At 36.4% G+C, this 25,107-nt stretch overlaps 1 annotated feature.

The window, feature by feature from the left end:
- Positions 23,894 to 24,395: an enhancer, noted in NCBI's record as "NANOG hESC enhancer chr1:74467939-74468440 (GRCh37/hg19 assembly coordinates)". NCBI's record gives its function as "activates a minimal SCP1, AML or CMV promoter by ChIP-STARR-seq in naive H9 embryonic stem cells {active_cell/tissue: H9 hESC(naive)}" and the evidence as "EXISTENCE:reporter gene assay evidence [ECO:0000049][PMID:30033119]".

Genomic DNA, 25,107 nt, shown 5'->3' on the forward strand with positions numbered 1-25,107 from the left:
TCAAAAATCTTTATCCAGAACAATGTCCTGAAGCATTTTTCCTATGTTTTTTTTTCTAGTCATTTTATAGTTTCAGGCCTTACATTTAGACCTTTGATCATTTTGAGGTGATTTTTATAAAGAGCGAGAGGTGGGGATGGGGTCTAATTTCATTCTTTTGCAGATGGATATCCAGTTTTCCCAGCACTCCTAATTGAAAAGACTATAATTTCCCCAGTGAGTGTTCTTGGCATCTTTGTCAAAAATCAATTGACTGTAGATATATGGATTCATTTCTGGGTTCTCTATTCTGTTCCCTTTTTCTATATGTCTGTTTTTATGCTACTTTGGTTACTATAGCTTTGTAGTATATTTCGATGTTAGGTAATGTGATATCTATAGTTCTGTTATTTTTGCTCGGGATTGTTTTGGCTATTTGGGACCTTTTGTGATTCCATACAAATTTTAATTTTTTTTATTTCTCTGAAGAATGTTATTGGTATTAGGATAGAGACTGCATTGACTCTATAGATTGCTTTGTGTAGTATGTATGGTCATTAAAAATATTAATTCTTCCAATCCATGAGCATGAGATGTCATTTCATTTGTTTGTATATTGACTCAGGGCCTCACAATGCCAAAATTAAACTGGTGGGTGAGCTGGGATCTTACTGAGAGCCTCTGAGGAAGAGCCAGTCTTATTCAGATTGTGGGCAGAATTTAGCTCCTTTTGGCTGTTAAAACTGAGGTCTCTGTTATCTTGATATGCGGACTCTTCACTTTCAATCTGACAATGGCATGATGAATCCTTTTCATGTTTTGGAACCCTGACTTCCACTTCTGCTACCACCAGAGAAAGAACTCTGCTATTAAGGGCTCCTGTGGTTACATTAGGACCAACCAGATAATCTAGGGTAATTTTACAGTGAGTGGACTAGTAACATTAATTATATCCCTTTTGCCATATAATGAAACATACTCATTGGCATAACACTGGGGAAAGTTCATGGGGTACAACATGCTGCCTACCACTCTCTTGCACAAGAAGCAGCTATGTTAGGGCCACCATTCTCCGGCACAAGCCACAGAGTGTCATGAACCTGAAAATATAATTAAATTACATCCCATGGAGGTGTGTAGTGTGAGAGAACTGTGCTATACAGCTAGGTTTTAGCAAATAAGAGGTAAATTGAAATAATGTGTACATTTTAGATTATTTTATTAAACCCAAAGTCTCTTCCCATGTTTCTTTCCTTTCTCCCTTTAAATTAAGTTTAAAATAGCAGTAATATGAACAATCTAGGAAGCCATGTGTTGAAAATGGCAACTCCACCCTCCCAAACCCAAACCATTCATTTCTGACCTATTAAGTAAAAGAGGAAAACAATTATATCTTATTCAAGCCACTGTATTTTATGGTTTATTCATTATGGCAGCGGAGCTTGATAATGCTCCTGTAGAATCAGAAGTAAAATCCAGGCCCATTCACTCCCAGTGCAGCACTTCTTGTCGCCTTTTGTTTCTCCTTATTCATGTGTGTCTTTAGTTTCAAACACTGCCACTAATCATGGGCCTATTGTTCCAGGTTCCTTCTCATTCAGTACTCTAATATCCTCTGGTATCTGGTTCATTATTCTTCTCTTGTGTTCTTCAAAAGTTCTGTAAGAGGCTGAGATTGGAGAGACATAGCAAGCCTGGTTGGAGGGTGAAAAGGCATAGTTCAGGCTGATAATTATGAAGGTGAGGGACTTAACAGCAGTGCATGAGGCAGACTTATATAACACTTTAAGTCTTTGTGTATAAAAAATCTGGGGTTAAAAAAATGTGTATCATTATGTACGCAAATTCCTGAAAAGTGGTAGATAATTCTAACAGAAAATGAAATGTATCATGATAAAGAAAAAGCAAGTCATGTTCCAGTAGAATCCCAAAAAAATTCAGGCTTGTTCATTACACATACAACATAAATATGAAGAGTAACTAAATAATTTATTGAAAAAGTTTATATCTAACGTGTGCATTCATAAAACAATAAGTTACTGGCAATACCAAATCAAGCAATAAATAGCATTTGCCCATTCTAATAGCTGTATTTTTCTCCATCCCCTTCACTAAATGGCATTCAAAGTCTTTGTCATGTTCCAGATTTAGCAGTTTTATTAATCTTGGCAGCAATGTGGTCATTGTTCTGATGAAATCCTCTCAGGAAAGAATGCAGCCAATGTCTGTGACCCCTTAGCCTTTTTCATGCTGGCTGATAACGTTTGTCTTAACTTCAATTGTTTCTATGGCTCTGAGCCTCTTTGAAACAGTTAACTGACACAATTTTAGGCATTATTTTTAAAAATTTAAAACATTACTTAACAAAGTAACCCTTAGAAAACACATGTGTTCATAGAGTACAATCAAAGACAATTTGAATAGTACAATATCCCAGGGCAACTGGGAATGCAAATGATGGCTGATAAACCATCTTTCATTGTGCTGTGAGGCAGAGTTTCATATCAGGTTTTACTTGAATAGTTGGAAGGACTTTGAACCCACAGTATGACTAACAATATAACCCTCCTCCTGCAAAGATAAATAAATAATGAATTTCTCTCAGGTATTTCGAAGTGTATAACTACACAATTTTTTTCTATATATTAATAAAGGTGCTACTTTTTCACTTTATTCTTGAAACAGAAAATGATTGTGAATAAACTGGGTTGTGAATTTATCTACCATAGCTAGATATTTGTTAAATTTGTTATTTGTTCTAGGGATGGCTGAGCAAAAGGAATTAAAAGAAGATGCCTAGGAGGGGTAGAAATAACATTAACAAGCAGAGAACAGACAATAAAAGTCAATAGCTCCCTGGAAGATGAGCCTTTGGCTACCTATATTGCATTTGAAAAAGTTATTTTATATCTCTGACCCTGTTTTCTCATCTAAGATATGGGGATTCTAGTATCTACCTCTCCATGGATTTTTGAGAATATAATGAGAAAAAGGTAGTAACATATACCATGGTTCTAGTAACCTAGTGGGCACCCAATTATGGTTTCCTCTTACTCCCTCTACACACTCTTATCTTAGCCTTTATAAGTTAAGACAAGCTTGGAAGGAAAATATTTAGAGAGTGAGACATTCCCTGGGTACAAATTCATCACCAGCCTCAACTATATGAAACTTCAGAGGGTGGAATAGAACTCATATCTTTTGCCAAGCTTCTTCCCGGTAATATTTCTCTATAAAGGATAATATTATACCTAAGTTTATATATATTAGTTTTCTCTTGCTGTATATCAAATAACCACAAATTTAGTGGTTTAAAATAACACAGATTTGTTACCTTTTAGTTTCTGTGGGTCAGAGGTCAAAGTCTAGCTTAAATGGGTTTTCTGCTCAGGGTCTTACCAGGTTAAAATCAAGGTTCCAGCTCAGGCTGTATTCTCATCTGTAGCTCATGGTTCTCTTGCAGGTTGTTGGAATAATTCCATTTCCTGCAGTTGTAGCACTAGGACCCCTATTTCTTGTTGGCTATTCAGTGGGGGTCTCTGCTTTTAGGTTCTTGGTTATGAAGTCTTTCCTAAGCCAGTATCTAGAAGGGTTTCTCCAATGTTATATTCCAAAATTTTTATGTCTTCAGGTCTTAGATTAAGTCTTAGATCCATCTTCAGTTGATTTTTGTTTAATATGATATATGAAGATACAGTTTCATTCTTCTACATATGGCTTGACTATTATCCCAGAACCATTTGTTGAATAGGGTGTCTTTTCCCCACTTTATGTTTTGGTATGCTTTGCCAAAGATCAGTTGGCTGTACGTATTTGGCATTACTTCTTGGTTCTCTATTCTGTTCCATTGGTCTATGTGCTTAATTTTTTAAACCAGTACCATGATGTTTTGGTGACTATGGCATTATAGTGTGGTTTGAAGTCAGGAGGCGTGGTGCCTCCAGATTTGTTCTTTTTGCTTAGTCTTGCTTTAGCTATGTGGGCCCTTTCTTGGTTCCATGAGAATTTTAGGATTTTTTTTCTAGTTCTGTGAAGAATTATGGTGGTATTTTGATGGGAATTGCATGAATTTGTAGATTGCTTTAGGAAGTGTATTAGTCCATTTTCATGTTGCTGGTAAAGGCATACCTGAGACTGGGATAAATTATAAAGAAAAAGAGGTTTAATGGACTCACAGTTCCACATGGCTGGGGAGGCCTCACAATCATGGTGCAGGGAAAAGGCACATCTTACATTGGCAGCCAGCAAAGAGACAATGAGAGCCAAGCAAAAGGGGTTTACCCTTATAAAATCATCAGATTTCATGAGAGATATTTACTACCATGAGAACAGTATGGGTAAAACCACCCCCATGATTCAATTACCTCCCATCAGTTCCTTCCACCACACACGCGAATTATGGGAGCTACAATTCAAGATGAGATTTCAGTGGGGACACAGCCAGACCATATCATTCCACCCCTGACATCACATTTCAATACCAATCTCAGATCCTCACATTTCAATACCAATCGTGCCTTCTAAACAGTGCCCCAAAGTCTTAACTCATTTCAGCATTAGCTCAAAAGTCCACAGTTCAAAGTCTCATCTGAGACAAGCCAAGTTCCTTCCACCTATGAGCCTGTAAAATCAAAAGCAAGTTAGTTACTTCCCAGATACAATGGGGGCACAGGCATTGAATGTTATACCCATTCCAAATGGGGGAAATTGGCCAAAACAGAGGGGCTAAAGGCCCCATGCAAGCCTGAAAACCACTGGGGCAGTCAAATCTTAAAGCTCCAAAATTATCTCCTTTGACTCCATGCCTCACATCCAGGTCACACTGATCCAAGAGTTGGATTCCCATAGTCTTGAACAGCTCCACCCCTGTGGCTTTGCAGGGTACAGCCTCGCTCCCAGCTGCTTTCATTTGCTGGCATTGAGTGTCTGTGGCTTTTCCAGGTGCACAGTGCAGCCTCTTCAGGGATCTACCATTCTGGGGTCTGGAAAATGGTGGCTTCTTCTCACTTCTCCACTAGGCAGTGCCCCAGTGGGGAGTCTGTGTAGGGAATTCAACCCCCCATTTCCCTTCTGCACTGACCTAGCAGAGGTTTTCTATGAGGGCCTTGTACCTGCAGCAAGTTTCTGCCTGGACATCTAGGCATATACATACATGGTTTGAAATCTACACACATGGTTTAAAATAATTGAGGTTCTAAACCCCCTCAATTATTGACTTCTCTGTACCTGCAGGCTCTACACTATGTGGAAGCTGCCCTCTGAAGTACCCTCTGAAGCCCCAATCTGAGCTTTACCTTGGCCCCTTTTAGCTATGGCTAGAGCAGCTGGGACACAGGGCACTAAGTCCCTAGGCTGCACAGAGCAGGGATGTCCTGGGCCCAGTGAATTAAACTATTTTTTCCTCCTATGCCTTCAGGCCTGTGATGGGAAGGGCTACTGCAAAGGTCTCTGACATGTCCTAGAGACATTTTCCCCATCGTCTTGGTGATTAACATTTGACTCCTTGTTACTTATGCAAATTTCTGCAGGAATGCTTTTAACAGCACCCAAGTCACATCTTGAATGCTTTGCTGCTTAGAAATTTCTTCTGCCAGGTACCCTGAATCACTTCCCCTAAGATCAAAGTTACACAAATCTCTAGGGCAGTGGCAAAATGCTGCTAGTCTCTGCTAAAACATAGCAAGAGCTACCTTTACTCCAGTTCCCAACAAGCTCCTCATCTCCATCTGAGACCACTTTAGCCTGGATTTCATTGTCCATATCACTATCAGCATTTTGGTTAAAACCATTCAACAAGTCTCTAGGAAGTTCTAAACTTTCCCATATTTTCCTGTTTTCTTCTGAGCCCTCCAAACTATTCTAACCTCTGCCTGTTACCCAGTTCTAAAGTCACTCCCATATTTTTGGGTATCTTTATAGCAGTGCCCCACTCTACCAGTACCAATTTACTGTATTAGCCTATTTCCACACTGCTGACAAAGACATACCTGAGACTGGGTAATATATAAAGGAAAGAGGTTTAATGGACTCACAGTTCCACATGGCTAAAGAAGCCTAACAATCATGGTAGAAGATGAAGAAAAAGCAAAGGAATAATGAGAGCCAAGCAAAAGGGGTTTCCCCTTACAAAACCATTAGATCTCATGACACTTATTCACCACCATGAGAACAGTATGGGGGAATTTGCACCCTTGATTCAGTTATTTCCCACTGGGTCCCTCCCACAACACATGGGAATTATGGAAGCTACAATTCAAGATGAGATTTGGGTGGGAACACATTCAAACCATATCAGGTGGTATGCTAATTTTCATAATATTGATTCTACCCATCAATGAGCATGGGATGTGTTTCCATTCATTTGTGTCATCTATGATTTCTTTCAGCAGTGTTTTGTAGTTTTCCTCCTAGAGGTCTTTCATTCCTATGGTTTTTTTTTTCCAGCTATTGTAAAAACGTTTGAGTTATTGATTTGATTCTCATCTTGTCATTGTGGATGTGTGACTGTGCTATTGATTTGTGTACATTAATTTTGTATCCAGAAACTTTGCTGAATTCATTTATCAGTTCTGGGAGCTTTTAAATGAGTCTTTAGGGTTTTCTAGGTACATGATCATATCATCAACAAACAGTGACAGTTTGACTTCTTCTTTACTGATTTGGATGTCCTTTATTTCCTTCTCTTGTCTGAGTGCTCTGGCTGGAACTTCCAGTACTAGGTTGAATAGAAGTGGTGAAAGTGAGCATCCTTATCTGTTCCAGTTCTCAGGGGGAATTCTTTCATCTTTTCCCCATTCAGCGTAATGTTGATTGTGGATTTGTCATAAATGGCTTTTATTACATTGAGGTATGTCCCTTCTATGCACATTTTGCTGAGGGTTTTAATCATAAAGAGATGTTGGATTCTGTCAAGTGTTTTTTCTGCATCTATTGAGATGATCATGTGATTTTCCTTTTTAATTCTGTTTATGTGGTGTATAACATTTATTGAGTTACGGATGGTAAACCATCCCTGCATCCCTGGAATGAAACCCACTTGATCATGGTGGGTTATCTTTTTGATATGCCATTTGATTCGGTTAGCTAGTATTTTGTTGAGGATTTTTACATCTATGTTCATCAGGGATAGTGGTTTATAGTTTTCTTTTTTTGTTATGTCCTTTTCTGGTTTTGGTATTAGGGTGCTATTGGCTTCATAGAATTATATAGGGAGGATTCCATCTCTTTCTCTATCTTGTGAATAGAATTGGTACCAATTCTTCTTTGAATGTCTGACAGAATTCAACTGTGAATCCATCTGGTCCTGGACTTTTTTTGTTAGCATTTCCCCTTACTTCTTCAAAGCATGTAGTTGTATATAAAACAATCTAATCAAGAGAATAACTCCCCCATTATATTCTCAGGTCCTGCCCACATTCAAGAGGAGGGGTTTATACAGGGAATCTGTACCGGAAGGTAGGAGTCTGGGGACCATCTCATAATTCTGTCTATTTTACTCTAGAAACTCATTTTGAACCAAAATAATCTGCTTTTCCATGTCAAAAAAAAAGTGATATTTTTTAAGTCAACAAATCAGGTGTTGCCATATTCTTCTATGTGTATTATCTTTCACAATCTGATTCAAAGAATCTTAGACAACAATTTCTAATTATTTGTTATTCTGAAAAACAATCACTAGCCAGACCATGTAGTTATGTGAAAAATTACTTTAAAGAGCTAGCATAGGACATGTGCTATGTTTCATACCTGTCATCTCAGCACTTTGGGAGACTGAGGCAGGTGGATCACCTGAGGTCAGGCGTTCAAGACCAGCCTGGCCAACATGGCAAAACCCCATCTCTACTAAAAGTATAAAAATTAGCCATGTGTGGTGGCACATGCCTGTAATCCCAGCTACTCGGGAAACTACAGCAGGAGAATTGCTTGAACCTGGGAGGCAGAGGCTGCAGCGAGCCAAGATTGTACCACTGCACTCCAGCCTGGGCAACATAGTGAGACTCTGTCTCAAAAAAAAAAAATAGAGCTAGTATAAAGTGATTGTCTGAAGAAGAGTACAAATCATTAATATCTAGAAAATCCAATTCTACACAGAAGTAAAGTTTTGTATTATGTTTGTTTGATTTTCACATGATGAAAATAATATACACCTGATACAAAAGAAATACAGAAAGGTAAAAAGAAGGAAAAACATATTCATAATGTTCAACCTGCAAATAAACATTTTGTTATATTTATTTCCAGGTTTCGTTTTTTCTTCCTGTATTTAAAAGATTATCCAGATCACAATTTTACTTTATCGTTAAAAGCACAGCTCTAAAGAAGCTCCTAGAACCAATAAATGAATTCAGCAAAGTTTCTGGATACAAAGTTTCCTGGCTATTTGACCTTTTTCCAGTTACTTAACCTAAGTTTTAGGTTTTTTACTTAAGAAATATATATATATACACACATACATAATACACACATCCATATATAGACACATAGAAATGCAAAGTAAATAAGATTCTTTCTAGAATCAGATAAGAATATTTGTACAAAACATTTAGTAAAATGTGTGGGCTATAATAAGCATCATATAAATGTATTTTTACTTAAGTAGTATTCCTATAGATACATACACACATTTCTTATTGTTACAATAACAAATTACCACAAACGTATCTTCTTTAACAGTACAAGTTTACTCTTTATCATTTCTGGTGGTCAGAAGTCCACAAGTAGTCACAGTAAGCTAAAGTCAAAGTGTTGTCAGGACTGGTTCCTCGTGGAGGTTCTGAGGAGAGAATCTGTTTCCTTGCCTTTTTCAGTTTCTACGTGCTGTCCTTATTTTTTGGCTTGTGGCAATTTTCTCTGTCTTCAAAATGTACTTCTTCAAATTTCTCTTTACTCCCATCATAATTGCTTCCTTTTGCATTTTACTGCAAGCAGCAAACAGAAATCAAGCCATACCTTTAAAACTTTGCTCAGAAAGTTCCTTAGCTAAATATCCAAGTTACTCTCTTAGCAAGTTCCTAGAAAACAAGTTCACTGCTTCCAAAATATAATGGTAGGATAGTCATAGTAGAAGAATTATGGACAATTCCATTCAAAAATCAAGAAAAAGAAAAAAAGAGTTGGTTCTCTCAAGCAATTTTAAAATCCAGCAAGGCCAACTCCATTATGTTTTAAGGCCTGGAATAATCTTCTGTGACTTTAGGCTCATCCCTCTATGCCAGCGGTTCCACCATCAGAGTCATTTTTCCTTTATGTTACAGGATAGCATGTGTTTGCAACTAAATGGTTTTATCAGCCTGCTTCCTGCCTATAGAATTTTGGAAGTCCAACAGCTTTATTTCATTTCATCTCCTCTGTCCTTTTAGAGCAAAATTAACCATGTTTCTTCTGATCTAACATTCTCAAGTATCAGTGAGTGATTCTTTTGTGTATGTCACAGGAATTCACTCCATTAGACAAGTGGGTCCTCCACAGGTTTTTCTGGATTATTCTTCCTCTAATTTTGGCTTTTCCAGAGATAGCTGAGAGGATCCATGAGTCAGACAACTAAGCTCCTCAAAGAGTCCTCTGTGTGACTGAATACTGACTGTGAGCTTTTGTTACTTCTAAGAAATTAGCAAAAGGTTGTCCAGCTAAATTCTTGGCTTTTCCTCAGAGCATGCTTTTCTGACAGTGAATCTCCTCATTATAGCATCTTTTAAAGTCTAGATAAACTGAGAATGTCCAAAATCATCAATTTCTGATTCCTCTTTGCTTAATAGTTGTTTCCTCAATTTATCTCTTCCTCTCACATTTTACCATAAGTAGCAAAAAAGAAACTAAGCCTTGGCTTCAACACTTTGCTTGGAAATCTCAGCTATATATCCAAGTCCATCCCTTACAAGTGTAGGACACAATGAAGGTAAGCTTTCTGCATATATAAAAAAAGATTATCTTTATTTCTGTTTCCAATAGTATGTTGTTTTGTAAAATTTAAAGATTCTTTTGATGGCAAGATGCAATACAGGAATACTCAGATAAAAGGCATAACTTTTTGTTCTTTATGGCTTGAAATGACAGAAGGCTGCAGGCAGAGCCACATGGGGAGTTGCAACTGGAGACAGGGTAATAGGAAGCTGGAGCTTTAGGGGAAAGTTTCTGTATCTCAAATGGAGTGAAGTGTGCTAGATTTCAAGGTCTCCTTGTTGATTGGCTAATTTGAATTATTTATCCCTAGTTGGCTGGTACCTGGCTCTGGGGTGATTAAAGTTGATGCATAATGGCCCATAATATGAGAGCTTGATAAGGGATGTGGTTACAGTGTGGCCTTAGGCAGCTGCTCAAGAAGGGGAACTAACCAGCCTCTAGCCAGGGCATTGTTCCACAGTGGATACATATAAAAGTATCACTTTATACTCCACAAATATATGTGATTATTGTTTGTAAATTAAAAATAAAACTTAAACTCTGGATAAACACAGAAAAGAAAGCAGAAAAACTATGTTACATACGTTCCTCGTGTCTTTCTGAGCCCTTGCCAGTGGAATTTAACATCCATATTTCTACAAAAAGTCTATTTGAGGCAATCTAGGTTTTTTCTAACTTACTTCTCAAAATTCCTCTAGCCTCTACTCATTACTTAATTTCAAAGCCACTTCCACACACAAGTGTGTTCTACAACTGGCTTTTCCCACTTAATATACATTAGACATCTCACCATAGCAAGTAACATAGGTCTGGATCACTATTTTTTATATTCCATTATGTGGCTGTGTCTTCACTTATTTATGGACACTTAAGTATTTCTTACATTTTCACTATTTCAAGTAGTGCTACAACTGACATTTGGAAATTTGTTAATTATTTTCTTAAAACCCTCCATAATTTTGATTGGTTGGGTTGTTAACTCATACTGTCCATAAATATATTTTATCTATGTCTTTCTAAATGTTCTTTGATAGGGTTTATCCCCAAATAGTGTATATTTGTTAGATTTCTTTTTAAATACTTCAGAATTCTGTTGTTCTTTGAAAATAATATCTTAATTTCTGTTTGGTTTCTAGTAGTTTCATACCAGTATAGAGGAACAGTTGTTTCTACATGTTAATCTTATAGCCAGCAACCTTGAGAACTCTCCTTTTAGTTCTAATAGTTTGTTGAATTTCACAGGTTTCTATGCAAAACATTATAGTATGTGAAAACAGTGACTACTAAATCTCTTCCTTCTATAGAATACACTGCTCAGTGTGGCCATCCCTCAGTTGCTATGAATGTCACTGCTAATGGCTCATACAGGCAACCTCCTCCATAGAATGGCTCTTCAGTGATTAGAGCTGCTGCATAAGGAAGTGCCTGGGAATTATGCCCTCTCACTCAAGGATGGCGCATATCTCATGACTGATGATATGAGCCTCACTTACCTAAAGACAAAATAAACTTTGGGCAATTGATACTCCAGAAATCTTCTTAAGATCATCCTGAGGTTGCATTTCACATAAAATTGTGTTTCTCAGCCCCCTTTTTTCCACTATTGTCCCCTAAAGAAACTTCATAGACAGTTTTTTTCCCCTAATCATCCACTGCCATGAAATTTTAATGTCAAGAGAGACCATCTATGTATTTATTTGTGTATGGTGGTGTTTTGGAGGGCTACACACCATTATAATATCTTTCACTTCCCAACAATCAATTTTCACTCCCTTGGGGGTGAGATTGCCCCACTGAAAGTATATGATCTGAATTATATCGTTGCTTAATTTATTTCCTTTCCTTATCCTGCTTACCTCCCTCCCTCATAGGTTTCTTCTGAGAGCACTCTTAATAAATCACTTTTTCCTTTTAATTATTTGTTTCAGAGCATTGTTCTGAAGAATGTTAACATAATTTTATCAGGTGAAAAATATCCTAATTGGAATTCTATTTTAATTACAATAAACCTACAATATAAGTTTAGACAAACTGACATTTTAACAATATTCAGTCTTCTCATCCAGAAATATAGTGCATTGCTTCATTTACTCAAGCATTCTTATATGTCCCTAAAATATCACATGCATTTCTTATTAAAATTATTCCTGTTTCACATTGGTTGTTAATGTGAAAGTATTTTTTATTATTGTTTTACTTTCTGATTATTTATCTTTATAAATAATTTCAAGAGTATATTTTTTATTTTTAATTTAATTTTATTTTAAGTTCCAGGGTATATGTGCAGGACGTGCAGATTTGTTACATAAACATGCCCTTGCTGCACCTATCAATTCATCACCTAGGTATTAAGCCCTCCATATATTAGCTATTTATCCTGGTGCTCTCCCTCCCTCAAGAGTACGATTAAGAGTAAAAACATTGTCTTTCAAATAATGCCAAGAAAATTAGAATTGTTAACATCTTAAGAATAAGTAATTCAAAATTAACAAAAAGTGAATGGAAATAAAATCGAGATCAAAACACAAGCAGGCACCTAACGATGAGTAAAAAAATGGGAGTGTATTAGAAAATACATTATGAGGAATAAAAATAAATAAATAAACTGAGATCATAGTACAGATGCTTCCCAACTTAACGATTGTTTAACTTATGATTTTCTGAGTTTATGATGGTACAAAACCTAGATGCATTCAGTAGCAACTATACTTTGAATTTTGAATGGTGATTTTTTTCCCCCCAGGCTAGCAATATACAATATAATACTCTCTGGCACTGCTGGGCAGTAGCAGTGAGCCACAGCCCCCCGTCAGCCACAGGATCATGAGGATAAACACAGAGATTCTATAGTGGACTGTGTTGCCAGATAATTTCACTCAATTGCGGCTAATGTAAGTATTCTAAGCACATTCAACATAAGCTAGACTAAGCTATGATGTTCGGTAGTTTAGGTGTATTAAATGCATCTTTGATTTATGTTATTTCCAACTTACAATGGGTTTATCTGGATGTAATACCATTTTAAGTCAAGGAGCACCTATATTTCACAAACTAAGCAGATGTGTAAGCTATATAAAGCTGTCTGAGAAGAAAACAATGCATAAGATAGCAGATTATGTTAAAAAAAAAAAAGGACAAGGAAGAGTCTGTGAATAATTGTCTTTCTTTATTCAGTGCTAATTGGGCCCTTGTAATAATACTGCATTGTTGGAAGCCAATGTTTCTACCAATAATAATTAATATTAGGTTTGTGCAAAAGTTTTTGCATTGCTGAAGTTTGCCATTTGATACTGGAATACAATCTTAAATAAATGTGGTTATAAATCACTTTAATGAACATTTCTCACTTTATGTTTTTTTATTTTGCTAATGACTTATTACTTCCCATTTATTTTATAGTTATTTTGGACTATGGAAATGATGTTGGACAAAAAGCAAATTCAAGCAATCTTCTTATTCGAGTTCAAAATGCGTCGTAAAGTAGCAGAGACAACTCACAACATCAACAATGCGTTTGACCCAGGAACTGCTAACAAACCTACAGTGCAGTGATCATTCAAGAAGTTTTGCAAAGGTGACGAGATGAGGAGCATAGTGGCTGGCCAGCAGAAGTTGCCAATGATCAGTTGAGAGCAATCATCGAAGCTGATCCTCTTACAACTACATGAGAAGTTGCTGAAGAACTCAAAGTCGAACATTCTATGGTCACTCGGCATTTGAAGCAAATTGGAAAGGTGAAAAAGCTTGATAACTGGGCGCCTCATGAGGTGAGCAAAAATTGAAAAAAGTCATCATTTTGAAGTGTCGTCTTCTCTTCTTCTATGCAATAACGATGAACCATTTCTCAATCAGATTGTGATGTGCAACAAAAAGTGGATTTTATATGACAACCATCGACCACCAGCTCAGTGGATGGAACAAGAAGAAGCTCCAAAGCAGTTCCCAAAGCCACACTTGCACCAAAAAATGGGCATGGTCACTGTTTGGTGGTCTGCTGCCGGTCGGATCCACTACAGCTTTGTGAATCCTGATGAAATCATTACATCTAAGACGTATGCTCAGCAAGTCCATGAGATGCATCGAAAACTGCAATACCTGCAGCTGGCATTGGTCAACAGAAAAGACCCAATTCTTCTCCATGACAATGCCCAACCACATGTCACACAACCAACACTTCAAAAGGTGAACAAATTGGGCTATGAAGTTTTGCCTCATCTGCCATATTCACCTGACCTCTCGCCAACCAACTACCACTTCTTCAAGCATCTCAACAACTTTTTGCAGGGAAAATGTTTCTACAATGAGCAAGATGCAAAAAATGCTATCTAAGAGTTTGTAGAATCTTGAAGCATGGATTTTTATGCTACAGGAATAAACAAACTTATTTTTCATTGGCAAAAATATGTTGATTGTAATGGTTTCTATTTTCATTAATAAAGATGTGTTTGAGCCTAGTTATAATGATTTAACATTCACAGCCTGAAAGCATAATTACTTTTGCACCAACTTTTTTTTTATGGCAGTGTATTTTCTTTTATCACATATTTAGAATTATCTAATCATACATTGTTGGAGCTGGCTGATAACTTAGAGATTTCCTAGTTTGCCTTCCTCATTTAAAAAATAAAGAAGTTAAGCTCCAGGTAGGCTAAATTGATCTTTAATTAGGTGAAATTATTTTCCCTCTGATTTCCCTTCCTCAGGTGAAGCCATCAGAACTCATTCAAGCTAAAAATCTGAGTCATTTTGAAATTATTCTTTTTATCTCATATCCAATCAGTGATCCGCATGCTATTTAGTTTTATATCCTACATATCTCACTAACCCAGAGACACTAAGGTAGTTCAGGTCCTCATCATTGCCTCCACTCTTTCATACCCCAAATATTCTTCTGCATCTTCTGCCAGCCACATATTGCACCAAATACTGAAAATATGACAGTAATAGTCTGTCTGTGGCTGCCTTGGGTTCCCACTTCCCCCTAATTTTGATCGATCTTCAACACATCTATTGGAGAGTGTTTTACAGAACACAAATCGTATTATGATTTCCCTTATTCAAAATTCTTCAGTAGCTTTCTGTTACCATGTGAGATTAACATCAAGTCCATTGGTCTTTCTCAGAGTGATCCTTCCCTTTATTTGGGGAACTTTTCTTGCTCATATTCAAGCTTTGGGTCTACCATTCTACAGACCCATGTGCCACACAGAGGTACTAACTTTTATCGAACTATGACAGGCACATTCATACTGTAAACATAGAATGTTAGCCTCCCTTTCTCTAGCTTATTTGGGGGAAAGTGAGCATATCACATGTCTGATCGTGAGTCATCTCCTTTGCTGTTGCTACCACATGAGATATGTTTTCTCCCCTGCTTTCAGCTCTAACTCTGGTCTTTATTTACCCTACAGCTGGGCACTACCTGATACTCCAGGATGCTTGGTTCTTCAGTATAGCACTGCGGCAGCAGTACTAGCTACAGTGAAAGGTGATACGAGGAGCATCACTTTTTCCTTTTTGGACCCATCCGTTAATTCTCCATAAAAATCATTATAAAAAAATAAGATTTTATGTATGTAACACATTTTATTACACTGTTGATAACTAAAGAAATTAAAATAAATGTAAAACAAACAACTTTAGATGCTACTACGATTGTTCCTAGTATTCAAAGAAAAAATAAATAATAATTAATGCCCTTTTTCTTAGTCTTAATAATAGAAAACTCTAAGAAATGCTTTGGGACATCATTTATATTCTTTAAGATTGCCATGACAAGGCGAGGTACCCATGTACCTCTTAATTTTTCCTGTAGTTTTGGAATGAGTAACTATTAAAACACACACATGCACATATACAAATATACAAGCCATTCCATTTATAAGGACATTAAAAATTAATAGTCTGAAACACCTTAAGAAATTTTCTTTCTATATGCAAAAATGCTTGTACTGTTATCCCTGGCCACAATGTACGTAGAGCTGAATATTCTAATGAAGAGAAAATTTACTTTATTTTTGTAGGTTCCAGAAAATACACAAAAGATTATTGGCTTTTTTTTAAGTGGGCCATTAAAATACCTTGACAAACATCAGAACCATCTACATCTTGCTCCTGTCCAGAAAATAAAAACCCACTCAAATAATTGGACATATGAGTTTTAGAGAAGAAAGAAAGGAGATTACTCTTTTAAAACATACAGTTTTACATCTTTTCATATACTCTTTCTCTTGCTAAAGATGCTACTTCTTCTAATAAAAAGGTTCAAGTTGAAATGTCTTCTCTGTGATCCCTTCCTTACTCCCCTGTGCCTTTACCTGATTGTCCCTCCTACACTTCTCATAAAAATCTGCGCTTTACTATAACTCACCACATCTCATCATATTTACTTACATCTCTCTGTCTCTCTGTGTCACCTGTGAGCTCCTGTGGGGGCAATAAATAAGATTCTATTCATCTGTGTTTTCTGGTACTTAGTCACAATAAATGTTCAATAGATATTTGGGAATAAATTAGAGAAGGAATACATTCCCAAAGTTATACAAATTAGTGACCAGGTAGATAACAAAACTAAGGATTTATGACTCCTAGTCTAGTATTTTCCATAATTATATAACTTGGTCTCTAAACAGCAGTTAATTCCCAAATTGCAGGCTAGACATCCAAGAAGTTTAATGAATTTTTCAAGATCACATTTATAATGTCAGAAACATCATTATTTCAGTCAGCATAGATTAGGTTATGCTGCAGTAATACTCTCCAAATTCCTACATACTGAAACAATGAAGGTTTGCTGATTGCTCCTGCTACAGGTCCATCATAGGTAAGAAGAGGATATCGATACTGCCATTGAGAGACACAGGCTGATGGAGCAGCCACAGTCTTGAACCCTGATTGCATTTATGCCACAGGGAAAAAAATATTCTGAAGACTGTCCACCAGCAAATAACTTCTCTGGTCCGGAAGATGTTACTTCCCCCCATTACTCATCACAGAATCCCCAGCCAACAACAAAAAGATTGGAAAGTATAATTCTACCATGTTTGAACTGGAGATGATATTTGGTTAGCAATCATTTTCCTTAAAAATGCAAGTTGGTCAAGACTAGTACCAAGACTTACATATAATAAGTATATCAGAGATATTTGCTAAGTTGAATATAATTTTTATTTCTAGCCCAGTATTCTTTCTACTAGGCAGTTATGAGATACACTTATTTAAGAAAAATACCAAGGATGTGGGCATTTTTATTTTAAGATAATTCAGATACAATAAATGTGAAACTGTTCAAGGAATTATACATCTTAGCTTAAGAACAAGAAATAATTGTGATTATTTTTTATGGAAAATAGCTGTCTTTAGCTACACAGTAGGTGATAATAAGAAAAACCATGACTAATTCTTTGCAGATTGTTGAATACAGAGAAATAAACTTAAAGGTCAATAAAAAGTTAAATGGGGTGATTTTCGTTAAGTGCTATATAAAAGCAGCATGACACCTTCCTCCCCTAGACAGGGCTTTGGGGCAGGAAAGCCCAAAATTCTAGACCTAAATTCATTACCTATTAGCAATGTAACCTCGACTCTCCTGTAGGCATATGTCTTGCTGTATAAAATGAAAATCTGGAATAATGTATAAGATTCCTTACAATTTAAAATTATGTGAGCTACGTGAGTTAACTTGTCATAACTCAGATTAGGAGTAACTTCTATAATAGTTATAGTTGCAGTAATTGCTATAGTAACTACTCCTCAAAATTTCAATCCCATAAAATAATATAATTATATTTTTCATCCACATAACCATGTTCCTGTTTTTCCACATGGTGATTCATTCACAGGCTTCTCCACCTATTTGCTCTATCATTCATTCACTGGAGCCTCAGAGTCCTCTGCTTCTGGTGAAAAAAAGGAAGGAGAGTGGAAAAACCTAGACCATAAGTGGCACACATCACTTCTGCTTAGCTTTTTTTGGGGAGAATTTCTCATAGATGAGAACACATTACTGCAACTGTATACAAAGGAGGCTGGAGAAACATAGTTCCTGTCTGGAGATTCCTCTACCAGCACCAACTTCACACTGTGGAAGTAGAGACTCAAAGTTTTGGAGAACATCTAACCCGTGGCACATATTCTCAAGTCTTTCTTGACCATCAACTTTGTCCATTGAAGAATTTATCACTTCTCTCTGCTGCTTCCCCTACACTCAGACAGAATGCTATCCTGAGATCTACATTAGTTGGTTTCTTTAGGTGGCAAAAATTTAACAGCAGAGACAATTTTTATTTTAGCCTTGTACCTTCCAGCATGTTGCCCTGCTCCAGGATAGAGTAATTATTTTGTTAAAATAAATAAATAAATATATATATATATATATATATATGCACACACACACACACATATATATATACACACACATATATATACACACACATATATATACACACATATATACACACACACACACACACATATATATATATACACATATAATGAATTTATTCAGAGCCCTCTCTGTCACTTTTGTGTTTTATTTCTGTGTATTTGGGAAAATATTTTAATCTATAAGAACATTATTAAAACATGTACCCTGCAATACTATTGAGGGCATTAGATGAGAAACATATATTAAGGGTTTAAATATAAATGATGTTTCCCAGACCCTCACTCTCCACCTGAAATCACATCCCCTTCGTAAGTAGGAGATGGAGAGAAGGCCTATTTTTGAAATCCTAATGTTAGGTATAGGAATTGAAATATGCCCTTATTCCCTCAGTTTATGTCCATAAACGTTGTTGTTGTTGTTGCTGCTGTTTTATTCAGAAAGGTATAAGTCACAATACTACTTCTAGAAAGACAGAAAAATTCGATTTTGTAAACTTACAAGTAAAGACATAAGTGCACCCTGAAAAGCAGCACTTAGACTTCATAGGAAATACCTGGGAAGATTTTGTCCACGAGCAGCAAGGAAATATTTTGAGAAATTTAACTTTAAGTCTTATTCAGTTCAGTCAAATATATAAACATGTAATAATATGTTTAATGCAGAACATGTATTCATTCATTTATCAAACCAACATTTATTAAGCATTTACTTTGGCTTATTAACTTACATTATTTAGGAAAAAATCAAACCATGTTTTTCAAATTACCTATGTAACTATAGAATGCTTTGGACTGGATATGTAGTAAGATCCTTGGGGAGCATTTTTAGCCATAACATTTGGACCATTAAATGACCAGAGCCCATTCCTACACATTGCTTGAATTCCAATAAACATTTATGGAATAAATGCAACCATAACTATAAAAATTCATTTAAATCCCTTATTTAGACTTTTTAGCTATGACAATGTAGAATTTTACTAGAACCCAGGGATCTTGGAAAACAAAGGTGTTAAAGAAATATCCCCATCCTTTTGTGTCCCCAAAGATACCTTACTACAAAGAAACAGCCTTCCCTATGACTTATTTAGGGATGCTTTCCTTGGTTTACCTATGACCAATCCAGACAAAACCCTCCAAACTCCCATTCTTTGCTTCATTAATAGTTAACTGAACTGCTGGTCCCCACGGATCAATGAGAACAAAATGCTTGTTAAGCAAGCTTTGTTAAAGCATCTCTGCTTCCCCTAGGTCCCTGAACTTTGAACCACCTTCAGACTAAACCAGCAGACAGCCCCTTAACAGCAACTCCTGCGAATAATCTCAGTAACACAGTTTCTTATTTACTGTCCAATCTGCTGTCCACTCTTTCATCCCATTTCTCCACACCTAATTTTTTTCTAGCCTTGTTTACTTCTTATTATAAAAGGAAAACTCTTTTTGTTTAATCTTTGAATACTGGCAGGTCTCACGATCTATTACAGTAGTCCCCCTCCTTCTATTACAATTCCCCTCCTTCTATTCTCTTTCCTCCTTGCGATAATTTTAAAAAATATTTTCTTTACCCTAATTCCAGATTTGTGTTTTATTTGATACATGCTTTGAAAGAGGATTATTTCCCCCCCTACACACACCCAATGTACAAATGTAAACTAAATCTCCATCTGCTATAGTCCTAACTTCATTTTTTCTCATTTGACCTCTTAGAGTGTTTTTCTGATTTTCTAAAGTGAAAATATTTATTAACATTCAAGTTGAATAAAAAAGGATGTTTAGAGCCTATATCAAATAAAAATGCGTTGCAAATAAGAGTTCCATGACTCTGTCTTGGGGCTTGAGGAGCACTTACAGAAAGACTGCCTTCTTGAATGTTAGGGGACACTGTTTTAGTTACAGTAACTGTCTTGCCATAAGCTTGAATATGTACTGCCATCTACTGGTAAATACTACAAAATCAAATTAAAACAAATGGCACTTCTTTCTTGCAATAAGTATGTGAACACATTTGTTGAAAAAAAGGTCCTCTCAACAGACCTAACAACAAATGTTTATGTTCTATATACATAATTTATTTATTAACTCACCATGTTTAAATACTGTTTTATCTTATATTTTCTTAAAAATGTTTTTTGGTTTATAAAATATTTTTAACTGATTCAGGGTTAAATATCTGAACAAGTCCAATTATTGTACTATGTTGAATAGGATAGTACAGTTCAGAACAATACAGAGCTTTGATGTGCAAAGGTGCAGTCTGCTGACCACACTTTAGGTACAAGAAACATCTGGGAGCTCGTTAGGAATTCAGAATCTCAGTCCTCTTCCCAGACCCTCTTAGAATCTGCACTTTAACAAGATGATTAGGCAAATGGTTTTCACATTAGAGTTTGGGGAGCCCTGGCACAAAGTAAAGTATAGCACTGCATAGGCAAAATCACTAGTCTGAAATATTAAAAATCAAAAACAAAGAACAAAGGAACTCATGGTCCTGGAATCATTTTTTATTTTTCAATCTTTTAAATGGACTTCATCCTGCAATTAAAATATTTTGAATCACTGTAAGATCAATTGAAGCAGTTATGAAACAAATTATAATGCAAGACAATTAAGAACAATACCCTAGAGCTAAATGTTAATATTATACATTTGTGCATATTGGAATTCATTTTTCTGTTCAGCATCCTTGATGAGACTTTCCATAACATTAATTACTGAGACAGCTATGCCAGCAGCCTCCCAAGAAAGTCAAGAAATAGTCGAAGAAAAGATACAAAGTAAGGAGTTGGAGTTAAGAGTAAAGTCAATGAGGGGTGCTAAATTTCATGCAAATGCATACACATATACAGATGCACACACACACACACACACACACACACACACACACACACACACACTGAGAGTGATCTCCCAATATCAAGTTGGCAGACCGCAGGAGCCAAAATTTCAAGGCTCGCTGGCTCTCCACAGCTCCTACAATCACTTTTATTAGAAAGAGACTCCATCGCTCAAGTGATCTTATTTAGTGTGCCAGAGGCCTCTTACTTGAAAAAGAAACACAGATAAAAGTGTACATTCAGCAAAAGGGCACAGTTTTCTTTTTTTTTTAATGTAAGTTGTATATATTATCATTGTCTTTGGATTTATTGAGACTTTCATTATGATTAGCACACAGTCATTTTTTTAAAAATGTTTCATGTGAGCTTGAAAATGTGCATTTTCTACTTCTTAGGTGCTAAATAGATAGATAAATCAAACTTGTTAATTGTTAATTATGCTGTCCATATTGTCTATATCATTATTAATTTATTTCACTGCCTAACTGATTGATTAATAAAAGTACATTAATATCTCCCCTTATAGGGATAAATTATTTTTTTCTGTTCCAGCAGATTTTGCTTTCCATATTTTATGACTGTTTAACTAGACTGTTTATATTTTCCTAAGAAATTTATTACTTTATAATATATCGTGTCCCTCTTTATTCTTAATAACATTCATCTTAAATTCTGTATAATTTAATACTACCCGATGTAGGCTAAACTTCACAGGTTAAGAGTCAGGAGTCCCCAGGGCCACTTTTACTTTTGACCAGTTGGTGACAAATTAGAGTGTTTCAACAACCACTCTCAAGTTTGATTTTTCAAGAGAAAAATTCACAGGACTCACTAGAAGAAAGTCTAATACTTAAAGTTATAGTTTTAATATATATATTATATAGCATATATAATATATATATTCCCAAATTAGAAGAGATGCATAGAGTGAAGACTCAGAGAGTTCAAAACACAGTTTTCATCATCTTCTCAGTGTCAAAGTGCGACGATACTCAAGAGTATTGCCAACCAGGGAAAGCTCACTGAGCTTCAGTGTTAAGAGTTTTGTTTTTGTTTTTTTTAAATCGGACTCTAACTCTGTAGACACAATTGATTGAATCATTGTCCACTGACTCAGTCTCCAGTTAGCTCTCGCTTCCACTGGGGTTAGGGTGATATAAAAATATAAGGTTGATCTTTCCAGTATGGCCAAATCCAACCTAGTCAACTCCTCAGCATAAACTATCTAGGAGCTAACCATCAGTCACCTAATCAGCATAACTCTCTATCAAGTGGGTTCTAACAGGCCCACCATAACAAAGACACTCCAATTACTTGGAAAATTCAAAGGGTTTAGAGGCTACCTCCTGGAGCCAAGACAAAGGCCAGACTTCTCTTTTGGTAAAGTTAGTTCTTCACCACACAAGTACTAATATTGCCACCCTAGCTTTCTTTTCATTATGAATGACCCACAAAGTATAAAGTAAATGGTAAAAAAATCCAAATATTTCTGTAATCACAGTAAATATAAATATACGAAACTCATTATTAAAATTTGTCTTATTGGAATAAAATAATTCTTGTTATTTACAAGAGCCAAACATAAATGATATGGACACGTCATCAAATAAGTGCAAATTAAAACCACAATGAAACACCACTATGCACTCACCAGTAGAGGCAAACTTTAAAAAACTAATAATACAAAATAATCATAATCTTCATCTAAGCTGTGGTAACATGGGAATATAAATTCATCTGTAACATGTATATAAGTAGAAATTATCAAGCCATACATTTAAGATATATGCATTTCTATGTATGTTATATCTCAATAAAATAATTTTGAAAACATGAATAAAAAAAGACATTCGCTTTCAGGACAGCCTCATATTCTAGTTTCACTCTTCAAAATCTGCTTGCAGCTGGTTTCAATTCACTGATAGAAGTAATACTGCCTACTAGACAGGGTATTGGAGAATGTGGAGAAATAGGGAATGAGCCCAGAACAGAGGAAGGATATTGATATTATTACCCAAAGTTAATATAGTTGAACAGAGACATCTCAGTGCTTAGGTTGAAAAAGAGGGATAAGAAAAAGAATAAGGCATAAAAGAAGGAGATAGGTTGAATACAGGAGTACTGGCTAGAAAGTTAGGAGGGCTATGGAATCAATGTTCTGCTTCAGAATCATGGGCCTAGCTAGATAACTAGTATAGTTTTTATTCCCACAAGTCAGTGAAGTAATGTGAGAAAGTCACACCGAACTGACAGATACACCATTGAACATTTGGCTGCATCTCACATGGTAGTATGGTCCAGTTATAGGGAAATAGTTGACTGGCATATCAACATGTCCTCCTTCTCCTGAATCTAGCAAATTCTCTCATGTGTCCAGTTGAAGTCTTCCTTTCTCCAGTTGTATTAGGTTTCTAGGGCTGCCATAGCAAAATACCACAAAGTCACTTAAACAACAGAAATGCTTTGTATCACAGTTGTGGAGGTCAGAAATTGAAAATCAGGTGTCAGCAGGGCCATGCTCTCTCTGACAGCACTGGGGAAAATCTGATTGAGACCTCTCTCCTAGTTTCTGGTAGTTTCCTGGCTTGGGGCAACATAATTCCAATATTCACATGGCATTTTTCCTGTGCGCATTTGTTTCAGTGTCCACATTTTTCCTTTCTATATGGACACAGACATAATGGACCAGAGTCTACCCTAATAACCTAGTCTTAAGTTGATAATCATCAAACACCCTTTTTCCAAATAAGGTCACACTTAACAGTTATTGGGAGTAAAGATTTCAGCATCTTTTTTGGGGATACAATTCAACACATAACACTAGTCCTCTGTCTTAATACTGACACTGCAATGTCCTTGAAATTTTACCTTAATTAAGTGGCCAAGACCAAGTCTTCCTTCCTAGAATCTCCTTTGTGTCATGCATGTCCGAGTGAAGAGACCACCAACCAGGCTTTGTGTGAGCAATAAAGCTTTTTAATCACCAGGGTGCAGGCAGGCTGAGTCCAAAAAGAGAGTCAATGAAGGGAGATAGCGGTGGGGCCGTTTTATAGGATTTGGGTAGGTAGTGAAAAATTAGTCAAAGGGGGTTGTTCTCTGGCGGGCAGGGGCGGGGGTCACAAGGTGCTCAGTGGGGGAGCTTCTGAGCCAGGAGAAGGAATTTCACAAGGTAATGCCATCAGTTAAGGCAGGAACCAGCCATTTTCACTTCTTTTGTGATTCTTCAGTTGCTTCAGGCCATCTGGATGTATAAGTGCAGGTCACAGGGGATATGATGGCTTAGCTTGGGCTCAGAAGCCTGACACTTTGTGCTATCTTTTGTGGACAGATTGAGATTGCATCATTCATATCCACAAATACATGACCTGTCCATTCTCCTCTTCAAGTACCTAGCAGTTGTTTCAGCAATTACTCATAAAATTCCTATCAAATTATCACTTTGTAATATCAAAGATCTTAAGGAATCTAGATCTCCAGGCATTCTGTCATAGTGCAGATATAAGCAAAACCACTGGTTAATGCACATTACACAAATGGAGGTGGAGAGGGAGAAAGAGAAATGCTAACATCCCTTGAACTGTTGACCTCCTTTATCCCCAGTTCCATTACGTAAATTCAAGCCTTACCATCTTCTGCCTGGATTATTTTAATAACCTCCTAATGGGCTTCCTATCTCCAATCTTGTCCACCTCTAATCCATTCTCCACATTAGACCCAGAATGATCTTTTTAAGTCACCCACTCCCCTCCTTAAAATCCTATCTTAGCTCAAAACTGCTCTCAGGATAACGTACCAAATTCTTATAATGCTTTTTCAGGCGCTTATTTAAATGAAGTTCAATTCTTTAAATTCACCTTACACTCTCTGTCTCTTAGGAAATTGCTCTTGCTTTTGTTTCTGCCTGGAACTCTCTTTCACCACTGTCACTCATTGCAAGCAGCTAACTCATTTGAGCCTTTCATCTTTGCATAAATCTTTCCTGCATCTCCAAAGGATAGATTAGGTGTTA

This window comes from Homo sapiens, chromosome 1 (genome assembly GCF_000001405.40).
Source record: "Homo sapiens chromosome 1, GRCh38.p14 Primary Assembly".
Taxonomy (NCBI): domain Eukaryota; kingdom Metazoa; phylum Chordata; class Mammalia; order Primates; family Hominidae; genus Homo; species Homo sapiens.